General features: G+C 39.1%; 1 protein-coding gene across 2 annotated transcripts in view, besides 1 other annotated feature; it reads left to right on the top strand.

Annotated features, from left to right (window-relative positions):
* The window catches only part of WWOX (WW domain containing oxidoreductase), a 1,113,014-nt gene that overhangs the window by 314,608 nt on the left and 785,349 nt on the right, over window positions 1-13,057 (top strand). For both annotated transcript variants that reach the window (NM_016373.4, NM_001291997.2), the window contains one exon: window positions 10,609-10,794. In NM_016373.4, coding sequence (NP_057457.1) covers window positions 10,609-10,794 — 186 coding nt within the window. The remainder of the gene's footprint in view (window positions 1-10,608; window positions 10,795-13,057) is intronic.
* Window positions 6,914-7,647: an enhancer, noted in NCBI's record as "OCT4-NANOG hESC enhancer chr16:78455072-78455805 (GRCh37/hg19 assembly coordinates)". NCBI's record gives its function as "activates a minimal SCP1, AML or CMV promoter by ChIP-STARR-seq in naive H9 embryonic stem cells {active_cell/tissue: H9 hESC(naive)}" and the evidence as "EXISTENCE:reporter gene assay evidence [ECO:0000049][PMID:30033119]".

Raw genomic sequence — 13,057 nt, forward strand, 5'->3', positions numbered from 1 at the left:
CTCAGGTGATTAAAAAGCTTTATTGCTCACACAAAGCCTGTTTGGTGGTCTCTTCACATGGACACGTGTAACAGAGGTGGGCAGATCACTTGAGGTCAGGAGTTCAAGACCAGCCTGGCCAACGTGGTGAAACCCTGCATCTACTAAAAATACAAAAATTAGCTGGGCATGGTGCTGTGCACCTGTAATCCCAGCTACTCAGGAGGTTGAGGCACGAGGATCACTTAAACCCAGGAGGAGGAGATTGCAGTGAGCCAATTGCGCCACTGCACTCCAGCCTGCAATGCAGAGTGAAACTGTCTTAAAACAAACAAACAAACAAAAAGCAAAAATCTGAAAAGACATCTCAAAAGCCAATCTTAGGTTCTACAACAGTGATGTTATCTGCATGAATAATTGAGAAAGTTGCAAATCTTGTGACCTGAGGAATAACGGCTGGTAATTATTTAAAACTCAAGCCCCTCTCATCCTAACGTGGTGGCCTTTCATTCATTTTACAGGAACAGTTTAGTTTTGGGGGAAAGCTGTTATTTAAACTATAAACGAAATTTCTCCCAAAGTTAGCTTGGCCCATGCCCAGGAATGACCAAAGACAGCTAACCAGTTACCGGAAACGGGTCCCAATCTAGACCCCAAGAGAGAGTTGTTGGATCTTGGGCAAGAAAGAATTTGGGGTGAGTCTATAAAATTAAAGTAACTTTATAAAGAAAGTAAAAGAATAAAAGAATGGCTACTCCATAGGCAGAGCAGCAACTTTGGCTGTTGGACTAAGGATATTTATAGTTAATTATTGATTAGCTATAATATATTTTAATATAATATATATAATTATAATACAATATTATATATAATATATATTTTATGTAACTATAAACAAGGGGTAGATTACTCATGAGTTTTCACGGAAAGGGGTAGGCAGTTCCCGGAAGTGAGGGTTCTTCCCCTTTTTAGACCATATAGGGTAACTTCTTGATGTTGCCATGGCATGTGTACACTGTCATGGTGCTGGTGGGAGTGTCTCTTAGCGTGCTAATGGATTCATATTAGGGTATAATGAGTAGTAAGGATGACCAAATGTCGTTGCCATCTTTGTTTTGGTGGGTTTTGGCCGGCTTCTTTACTGCAACCTATTTTATCAGCAAGGTCTTTATGACCTGTATCTTGTGCTGACCTCCTATGTTATCCTGTAACTTAGAATGCCTGACCTCGTGGGAATGCAGCCCAGTAGGTCTCAATCTTATTTTACCCAGCCCCTATTCAAAATGGAGTCACTCTGGTTTGAATGCTTCTGACAAACCTCTGAGACTAAGGACAAGATGGAGTCTGTTAGGTTAGTTTTAATTTCCTCAGTTATTATTTCACAAAGGGGGTTTCAGAAAGATAGAAAATGCTAGAAAGAGACGGGGTAGTCAGTGGTAGGGATCTTGAGGGGTTAAAAAAGGGAAGGAGCTGGTCCCTTTGCAGTAGGAAGTGCCACCTCACTCCACTCTTGCCAGAAAGCCTGGCTCTGTCATAAGGAATCTTGGCCCATTGTCACTCTCATTGATGACAACCCCCGCCCCCACCACTACCACCTTAACTACTGAGGGGATGTCCTCTGGCCCAGAAGGAATGCATTGGCTCTAGTTGAAGGGGTTGCTGGTTTGTAAATAGCATCCCCACAGTCAGCAGACACAGAGAATGCCATGGGGCCACTCATCAGAAAGGTGGAGGGGCTTTATCTGTGGGTAGATGAGAGCCATGTAGAACCTGCATGCTGCCTTCCATTGGAATCTCAGGCTCTAAACAAGGAGGACAACCTTTTCTGCCCTTAATCACCTCTCACAGATGAGAATCCACCCAAGAAGAAGAAAAAAAATCAGCCCCTTAAAATGCTGACTAGTAACATCAGTTTTTGGAAGGATACTATTTTTGTTTCCATTCTGTCTTTATAGTTTGAACTTTTCCTTTTCATAGTCTGTAAATATTCATCATCTCAGAGCCTTTTGAATTGCAATGGCTTTTAGTCAAAACTGAGCGCAATGTGCCATTTGAATAATAAGAACCTCATTAAAGTGAGGCAAAAGTAATTCTTTTCCTTTTGTACAAGCCAATTAAGTGTCTTTACAATTAAAACAAAGTCAAGCACTTTATAGTTTCATATTCCACAAGCCTGTTTTTAATTAATAGAGGTGACAAGTTTTAGGTACAGGATACATATTTTGCCTCTGGAGTTGTGCAATTAACATTAATGAAGGGTATTAAAATTTGGTGAGAGAGGAAAGGGTTTTCCCAGGTCCTCTGTGGGTTCTTGCCTCCAGGCCTGTCTTTGGTAGCAAGTTCCTTGGTTTGCTGAGGTTTGCATTTTCTTGAGAGAATGTACAGGCAAGAATAAAAGTAACTAGAAGAGACATTGTTGTTATTGAGAAGTATGAAGTTAAAATTCCCAATGTCCAGGCCTGTCTTAAAATTAGGTAAACACTGCAGAAACTATCTTTGAGGAATTTAATTTTGTCTTGTGGATAAAAGTGAAGGATAAAGAGGAGAAATAACAATTATCTAAGCTGGCAGGCCAGCAAGATACTGGGGCTTTACTTCTCACAACCATGGGAGGAGTATATTTAGTTTACAGGGGAGGACACAGATTCACAGGGGTGAACTAACTGGCCATGAGTCAGGTAAGGAAAATAACATGGCTGAGCTACAGTTTCTCTAAGAAGTTGGTTCTGTCCATTTCAGGGAGCTTATGTAAGACAGAAGGTATTGTGCAGTAGCCTTGAAGTCAGGTGACCCTTTGGGGGTGTGTGTGTGTTTGCTTCTTTATATTAGCTTTTTTTTCATTTTGAGACAGGGTGTTGCTCTTCCTCAGTTGCCCAGGCTGGAGATCAGTGGGGTGATTACAGCTCACTGCAGCCACAACCTCCCAGGTTCAAGAGATCCTCCCACCTCAGCTTCCCAAGTAGCTGAGACTACAGGTGCATGCCACTGGCTATTTTTATTTTTTTCTTTTTAGTTTTGAGTTTTTAATTTTTTGTAGAGATGAGGTCTTGCTATGTTGTCCAGGTTGGTCTTGAACCCCTGAGTCCAAAAGATGCTGCTGTCTTGGCCTCCCACTGTGCTGAGATTACAGGCATGAGCCACCATATCTGGCCTATGTTAGCTATTTCTGAAACTTCATTTCTGTCTGTAAATGGCAATCATAATATATGTCACGTAGGGTTCTTAAATACAAAAAGCTCTTAAAAAGTGCCTAACCCATAGTTAGTACTCAAAAAAGGAAAAAAAAGTATTAATAGCCCTGGAAAAGTGAGCAAAATATTTCAGATGCAACCTGAAAGGAGTTCAAATGTAAGTCTCTCTTCACTTTGCCCATCTTTCCCTCTTCCCCGCAAGGTTTTTAGCAGTGGTCCTGTCTTACTACAATATATGAATTATCCCTGCTACAAATTAGTAGATTCTGCTTTGATTTGAAGCAGAGTCTAATGAGTGTTACAGGTAGGCTCGGTGCTTCAAAGGATTTCTGCCTATCTCTTCACAGAGTAGCTGGGCTATTGAGGGACTGTGTATTGACAATTGTAGTGGGCACCCTATGTGGAAAACAGGTGTTGTCAAATAACTGCAACTGACCCCAACCACACCATGACTTTTCAGGTTTTAGGTAGGGGATGGGTGGGAAAACAGATGAGGCAACAGAATGAATTATTCCTTAATAAGATCCAGATTACCGAGTGATAATAAGATTTGCATGAATACTTCAAACAACAACAGTGATTAAATACGTTTTTCTAGTTAAAAAATTAATGAGTGCTTTCCAGCAAGCGCTTAAAGAATTAATACTGGCCGGGAACGGTGGCTCACGCCTGTAATCCCAACACTTTGGGAGGCTGAGGTGGGTGGATCACGAGGTCAGGAGGTCAAGACCATCCTGGCTAACATGGTGAAACCCCGTCTCTACTAAAAATACAAAAACAAGATTAGTGGGGCGTGGTGGCGGGCACCTGTAGGCCCAGCTACTTGGGAGGCTGAGGCAGGAGAATGGCGTGAACCCGGGAGGTGGAGCTTGCAGTGAGCCGAGATTGCACCACTGCACTCCAGCCTGGGCAGGAGACAGAGTAAGACTCCATCTCAGAAAAAAAAAAAAAGAATTAATATCAATTTTCCACAAACTCTTTTAAAAAAACAGAAGAGGAGGAAACACTTTCCATCTGACACTGTGAAGCCACTATTACTCTGACAACAGAGGCAGACAAAGATATCACAAGAAAAGGAAACTTTAGGTCACTTTCACTTATAAATAGAGATGCAACAATTTTGTACAAAATGCTAGCAAGCCAAATGCAGCCACATATACAAAGAATTGTATATTATGACTAAGTGGAATTTATCCAAACAATTCACGGTTGGTTTTATATTAAAAAATCAGTCAATATAATATAACATAATAGTAGAATAAAAGATCCTCTCAATACATACATAAAAACATGTTTTAAAAAGGTCCAGCACGCTTTCTTGATGAAAACTTTTAGTAAACTTGGAACAAAGTGGCATTTTCTCAACTCAATAAAGGGCATCTGCAAAAAACCCACAAATGACATCATAATTAATGCTGAAAGATTGAGTACCGTCCCCTTAGGATCAAGAAATAAGACAAGGATATTCACTCTCATCACTTTAATATTCTACTAGAAATCCTAGCTAGGGAAATTGGGCAAAAAACAAAAAAGCAAAAGAATGGAAAAAAAAGATCCAGATTGAAAAGAAGTAAAACTATCTTTATTTGCAAATGAAATCACCTTATCTGTAGAAAATCCTAGAAAGGTACTTAAAAAATATTAAAATGAACAGGTTCAGCCAGGATAAAAGTAGGATAAAAGTTTAATATGCGTAAGTCAATTGTATTTCTATATACTAGCAATGAAGGCATCCCATGTTCATGTATCAGAAGATTTAATATTGTATAGCTGACCAAACTCTGCAAATTGTGTACAAATTTAGTGCAATCTCTATTAAAATTTCAGTTGACTTTTTTACAGAAATTGAAAAGCTGATCCTACATTTTGTATATGAATGCAAAGGAACCTGAATAACCAAAACAAGCTTGAAAAAGAAGAGTGTTGGAGGGCTTCCATTTCTCAATTTCAAAACTTTCTATAAATCCTTAGTAATAAAGACAGTGTCATATTGGCATAAGAATAGATCTATAGATAATAAAATAGACTTGAGAGTCCAGAAATGAATCCATGCATATTGTGAATTGATTTTCAGCAAGGATGCCAAGACAATTCAAAATAGTCTTTTCAACAGTGATGCTAGAACCACTGGATAGCCCCATGCAAAAGAATGAGATTAGATCACACTTGCATAAACTACACAGCAAAAAATAGCAAAAAAAAAAAAAAAAAAAAAAAAAGGGTCAGAGACTTAAATGTAAGAGCTAAAACTATACAACTCTTAGAAGCAAACATAGGGGTATATTTTTCTGATTTTGGCTTAGACAATGATTTCTTGGATACAACCCTGACAGCACAAGTGACAAAAGAAAAAAAGATATCCAGAATGATCCAGAATGAAAAGTGTTTGTGCTGCAAATGATACCATCACGAAAGTGTACAGATGACCTACAGAATGGGGGAAATACTTACAAATTAAATATTAAATAAGGGATTTGTATCTAGAATAAAGAACTTTTACAATTCAATAATGAAAACTCATTTAAAAAATGAGCATAAGATCTAAATAGATATTCCTCCAAATATGATACACAAATTGCCAATGAATACATAAAAGATGTTCAATCTCATTAGGGAAATGCAAATGAAAGCCACAATGAGATTCCACTTATTGCTAGGATGGCTAAAATAAAAAAGTCAGATAACAAATACTTACAAACACATGGAGAGATGAAAGTTCAAATACAGTCCTGGCGGAAATGTAAAATTGTATGGCCAAACTGGAAAACAGTTTGGCCATTATTCAAAAAGTTAAACATTGAATTACCATATGACCCAATAATCCCACTCCTAGATGTATCTTGAAGAGAAATGAAAACATGCATTTCCATAGCATCTTACAAATGAATGTACATAGTAGTGATATTCCTAATAGCCAATAAATGGAAACAATCCAAATATCCATCATTGGTGAATGGATAAACAAAGCGTGGTATATTCATATAATGGAATATTATTTGCCCATTAAAAAGAAATGGATTACTGATATATGCTACAACATGGATGAACCCTGCAAACATCATGCCAAGGGACAGAAGCCAGTCACAAAAGACTACGTATTGTATGGTTCCATTTAGTATATAAAATGTCCGGAATAGGCGAATCTATAGGACAGAAAGTACACTGATGGTGTTTTGGGAATAAGAGTGTAGGTAGATAGAGGGTGGCTAGTGATTGCTAATTTTTTTTTTTTTTTTTGAGTTAAAAAAGTGCTATAAAATTAGAATGTAGTTATGGTTGTACAATTATTTGAGTATACTAAAACAGCTGTACAGTATACATAGGTAGATTTTATGGTATGTGCATTATATTTCAGTAAAGTTCTTTAATAAATTAGCTAATGCTTATTGTAGAAAAGTTGGAAAATACCAAAAACCATAAACAGGAAATAGGAAAAAAAGTAATCCTGACTGTATATCTGGAAATCTTTTCGTGGGGTATGGGGTATGAATCACACATATTAATTTTAATTTCCTGCTTTTTCAATTAAATTGAGAAAGTTTGGGAACCTCTGGCTTAATCATTATTTATCCACTTCTCTGTTGTTGGATGTTAGATTGCTTCTAGTTCATATGTAATTTTATAATTTTAGTTGACATGTCATTATGGATTCTTGGGCATAAACGTTTATATGAATTTTGAATATTAGGAAATAATCTTGGAAGCTATATTAGTTTTCTAAAGCTATTATAACAAATTACCACAGATGGAGTGCCTCAAAACAACAGAATTTTACTCTCTTACAGTTTCAGAGACCAAACATCTGAAATCAAGTGGTTTGCAGCGTTGGCTCCTTCTGGAGGCTGGAAGGAGCATCTGTTCCATGCCTTTCTCCTAGCTTCCCATGACTGCCAGCCACCCTTGGAATTTCTTGGCTTTTATCTTAGTCAGTCTAATCTCTGCCTCTGTCTTTCCATCTCCTTCTCTGTGGGTGTTCCTTCTCCCCTTCTGTTTTGTAAGGATAGGCCTGTCATTGGATTTAAGGCCCACCTTAATCCAAGATGATCTCATTTTAAGATGTGGGACTTAATCACATTTGCGAAGACCCTTTTTCCAAATAAGGTCGCATTCACAGATCCCTACCATTCAACTCACTATGGAAGCAATGGGATGGGAGGTACCATTCAACTCACAGATTCCTACCATTCAACCCACTATAAAGCAGTGGCATATGAAAAGGATGGGAGGTTGCTATGGGAATGGTCTGCCCCAGATGCAGGTAAAATGGGGAAGCATTTTATATAGAATGGAAAAACAACAGTAAAGCTGGCTAAAACTTGATCTGCTTTTTACAGTCATGTGCTGACAATTCTAAACATTATCAATGATAAAATACTTCTCCCTCATGATATTAACTGTGCAATTTTTGCTGCCCCTGCTACATACATGCTTTATTGCTTGGAAACAGGATTACTTGGTGAAATAATGTGAATCTTTCAATTCTCATGATACATGTTTTCAACTTAATATCCAGGGTGCAGGAATATATATTCCCACCAACTTTATACAAGATAATACAAATATAATAGTATGAATAAATATGCTAATTTGATAGAAAATATTTTAATATTTACTACTAGTGTAGTTGGACGTGTTAAATATTGCAATGGTTATTTGTAATCTACCTTTATAAAATTTCTAATGTCTGCCACTGTTTCTGTTAGACTCTTAAGAAGATACGTGTTTGTCTCATAGATTTGTAAGAACTCTTTATATACTAAAAATATGGGGCTTCTATATGATTGCATATATTCGTCACTTTTGTTCCACTGTTTTAGAGAGCAGAAGATTTTAATTTCTATAAAGATTTTTATGTTTCCCTTTATTGCATGCCAATGTTTGTTTTTTAAAAACTTGTACGTCTTAGGCTGCGATGTGAAAAGTGTCTTTTTTTTGATTTGGAAACAGAGTCTTGCTCTGATGCCTGTAGTGGTATGATCATAGCTCATTGCAGCCCTTGAACTCCTGGGCTCAAGTAATCCTCCTATCTCAGCCTCCGAAGTAGCTGGGACTACAGCCACACACCACCACACCTGGCTCACTTTCGGGTGGTTGTTGTTGAGATGGGGTCTTGCTGTGTTGCTCAGGCTGGTTTTGAATACTGGGCTCAAGTGATTATCCTGCCTTAGCCTCCCAAAGTGCTGGAATTTCAGAGGTGAGCCACTGTGCCCAGCCTCCTGTTTTTTTTACATGTATATATATATATATATATATACACACACACACACACATATATATATACACACACACATATATATATACACACACATATATATACACATATATACACATATATATACACACATATATATATACACACACACATATATATACACACACATATATATACACACACATATATATATATACATATACACACACACACACACACACACACACACACACACACACACATATATTTTTTTTTTCTTTTAGATGGAGTGTCTCTCTGTTGCCCAGGCTGGGGTGCAGTGACATGATCTCTGCTCACTACAACCTCTGCCTCCTGGGTTCAAGTGATTCTCCTGCCTTAGCCTCCCAAGTAGCTGGGATTACAGGCGTGTGCCACCACGCTGGGCTAACTTTTGTATTTTTAGTAGAGATGGGGGTTTCACCATGTTGGTCAGGCTGGTCTTGAACTTCTGACCTCGTGATTTGCCTGCCTCAGCCTCCCAAAGTGCTGAGATTACAGGCGTGAGCCGCCATGCCTGCCCTTATTTTTATATATCTTCCATAACCTTTCTATCTCTTTCTTTCTCTTTCTCTGTTTCTGTGTGTGTCTGTGTCTGATAATAAAATACATTAAATTTTATTTTATAACATAAATGTTTTATAAGGTCGGTAGATTTGTTTATGATTTTAATGGCTGCATAGTATTCTATCATATGGATATATTCTAAATGTAATAATTCCTCAATGGTATATTTAGTTTACTTTATATTTGCTGCTTTAGTTTGTCACAAACACCGTGGATAGCCTTGTATATATTTATTTTGTTGTATAGTTCTTATTGGTACAGTATGATTTTTCACAAGTATACAATTACTTTCTGAGAATTTAGCTTTTTGATTCACGTGAAAGCCTTACTTGTATTGTTAACAATTTTGTTACGTTTGTGAGGCCTAGGCAGAAGGATTGCTTGAGACCAGGAACTCAAGACCACCTTGACCACCTTGGGCAACATAGGGGGAGCCCATCTCTACAAAAATAAAAAATAAGAAATAAAATAGCCATGCATGGTGGTGTGCCCCTGTAGTCCCAGTTACTCGGGAGGCTAAGGTGGAAGGATCGTCTGAGCCTGGGAGTTTGAGACTGCAGTGAGTTATGACCACACCACTGCACTCCAGCCTGGATGACAGAGAAAGATCTTGTCAAAAAAAAAAAAAAAATTAAATATATACAAAATAAGGGAGAATACTATGACAGGCTTCCACTTACCTATCTTTAGGCTTCTTTATAAAATGTTCATTTAATCTGATCTCTATAAGAAATTCTGTATCCTTAAACAACATGTGCCCTTCTCTTTACACAGAGCGATTACCCCCTTGCTATGTTTTATTAACAGCTAGCAAGTGCTGGGTCCTGTGTCAGTTGTTTTGTTTTTTCTTTTTCTTTGTTTTTCTTTTCTTTTCTTTTCTTTTTTTTTTTTGTTTTTTTTTTTTTTGGAGATAGAGTCTTGCTCTGTTGGTCAGGCTGGAGTGCAGTGGCATGATCTTAGCTCACTGCAACCTCTGCCTCCTGGGTTCAAGTGATTCTCCGGCCTCAGCCTCCTGAGTAACTGGGATTACAGACATATACCACCACACCTGGCTAATTTTTTTTGTGTTTTGACAGAGATGGGGTTTCACCATGTTGGTCAGGCTGGTCTCAAACTCCTGACCTAAAATGGTCCACCTGCCTTGGCCTCCCAAAGTGCTGGGATTACAGGCGTGAGCCCCCGCGCCTGGCCCTGTGTCAGCCTTTTTAACAGCATAATTTTTCCTTTATTAGTCATAACTACTTTAAGGGCTATTTTGATTTACAGACAAAGTGAGACTTGGATGAATTAAGAAAGAATTAATCAGGTGGTTGAACCTGAGTTCCAACTAGGGTGACAACTCTTCGCAGATTGCCTGCTGCTGTCCTGGTTTTCACACTGAAAGTTCCGTATCCTAATAAGCCTCTCATCCTCAGCAACGGAGGACAGTTGCCCACTCAAAGCCTTGTGACATTCTAGGGTATCCTATTTCTACATGGTGGGAATCTAGAAGACGGAGAAAGAATTTCTCATTCCCGAAGGAGCATGGATTATCCTTGGTTGTAGTGTTTATGTCCACATCACGTGGATTCCCGAAGGAGCATGGATTATCCTTGGTTGTAGTGTTTATGTCCACATCACATGGGATATTTTATTTTTCAGGCCTCTTCATGTGCTTGTGTGCAACGCAGCAACTTTTGCTCTACCCTGGAGTCTCACCAAAGATGGCCTGGAGACCACCTTTCAAGTGAATCATCTGGGGCACTTCTACCTTGTCCAGCTCCTCCAGGATGTTTTGTGCCGCTCAGCTCCTGCCCGTGTCATTGTGGTCTCCTCAGAGTCCCATCGGTGGGTTTGAATTGCATATTTGTTCACTTATCCCCTTTCTCATACCAGCTAATATTCCCCCAAGGCTCTCATTCTGAAAATAATTTTCATTAGTCCTGCTTGAGACATGTGGGTGGACTCAGCTTGGCTCACTTAATTTTTCCAGGTCTTTTTTGTTCGCCTGTGATTGTGGGGGACTGTTTAGAAGGACTTTCTAGAGCAAGGAAGATTGTTTTTACGACTATACTTCAAGCTCCTCATTGATTTTGCTTAGAGATGGAATAATAATTGATGAAATCTGAATGGCATGACCTTTATTGATTTGTAATTCAACAACTTCAACATCTTACCAAGAAGAATGTGCAGTTATTCTAGCAGGAGAAACAATGCAATTAGAGCCTGCGAGATGAAATCAAATTGTTTTATAATGAGAAATTAGGGAATTCGAGGCAGACATTAGCTGTGTAATTGTGGAAAGGGAAGAACTGTAGTTAGAGCATATTAGAAATCTGGCCGTGCCTCTTTTGGTTAAAATTTCAATTAAAACATCAGATGGCACTTTTTTCCTATTGCCATTAGGAGAATATTCAATTGACTGAAAAGGACATTTGAAAATTTCCTCGTATTTTCAGCATATTTGTTTCTAGAGTTGGAGAAACAACTATTTGTCTAGAGAGAAGTACTCTGAAAAGACAAAGGCCTTGCTGGGTGAGGCTGGATTTAATACATGTTAGGGAGATTTCTCTTTCACGTTTGCTTGGTGTGTGTTTGGCGGGGGGAACTTACACTCTTAGCAAAGTAGCTAGAAAAAAAAATAACGTGCAAGGGGCCTATTTTTTCCTCCTTCTTCTCCGTCTTAAGTCCTGAAATGTTTTAGTGACCCAGAATGAAGCTTATTTTTTTAATCATACTTCCATAAAATGTAACCCCTGGGACTTGGAAGAGAGAGACCAGCCAAGGGTTAGCTTGAACCCTTTATCACTCCCAAACACAGGGGCTTATGGTATAAGTGACACACTGCAGATAGATTTACTTTTGCCATTTTAAATTTATGATGGCTGAAATGAAAGGTAAATGCCAGTAATAATCCTCCCCCGTGTTAAAAGACATGAAACATCTAGTAATTAGGTGGTAACAAAATCTGGACAGCCTTATCTTTGCAAATCACACCAGGTTTGTGAAGGAAAGTGGAGTGGCCCTGTTAAGGGGCGAGGGAGGCTACTGTGGGGGCAGGCAGCAGAGAGAGCTCCAGAAATAAATCTGCCAGCCCCAGTCATCCACCAGATGTGGAGGGCACCACGGGATATGTTTAAATGAGCTGGTATTTAATGGGAGATTATGTCGAATTGTCAGCTGCTCACTCTCCTTGTAAATCTGTATCTCAAATGGTATTTCGTGTGACGTCTTTGTTCTTTGCTTAACTACGGTGTAATTCATGCCTACTTCAGAGATCCAAATCTCAGCATCATTTAAAAGATTAGTTTGAAAGGAAGGGACTTGGGCTCTTGAATTAGACCTATGTTAGTTTATAGGGAGGCCTTCCTGAAATGTGTTGTCAGGCTTGCTCCTGTGTGATGGCTGGCACTGGTTTTATGCTTTCCAATTATTCTTTGCACATCGTTATTTATTATTACTGTTATTATTATTTGACATGGAGTCTTGATCTGTTACCAGGCTGCAGTGCAGTGGCATGATCTCGGCTCACCACAACTTCAGACTCCCAGGGTTAAGCGATTCTCCTGCCTCAGCCTTCCAAGTAGCTGGGACCACAGGCGCTTGCCACCACACCTGGCTAATTTTTGTATTTTTAGTAGAGACGGGGTTTCACCATGTTGGCCAGGATGGTCTCGATCTCTTGACCTTGTGATCCGCCTGCCTTGGCTTCTCACAGTGCTGTGATTACAGGCGTGAGCCACCACGCCCGGCCTCTTTGCACATTATTTAAGGGTGTTTTAACAAAATGGCAATTTCCCCAGGCTGGCTTGTGTATTACCTTCGCATTGCATCCCTTGGCTCCCATGAGTGAGCGTGGTGACTTGGTGCGTAGGTGGTACGTGAAGACAGTTGCTCACTACCCAAGAACTCAGGGCCCTAAACCATGCTGTAAAATGCAAGTGCTGATATCTAATTACCTCCATCAACCTTGGCAGAATCTCTTCGTTGGAGTTAAGACCCCCTGTTAGGGGAAAAAAGAAAGTCCTATGTTTGCAGAAAATATTATACTAGACTGCTCCAAGGCAAAATATTTATTAGCCTTCCTGTGTCTTCACTGTGTTTTAGTTAC

This window comes from Homo sapiens, chromosome 16 (assembly GCF_000001405.40).
Source record: "Homo sapiens chromosome 16, GRCh38.p14 Primary Assembly".
Lineage (NCBI taxonomy): Eukaryota > Metazoa > Chordata > Mammalia > Primates > Hominidae > Homo > Homo sapiens.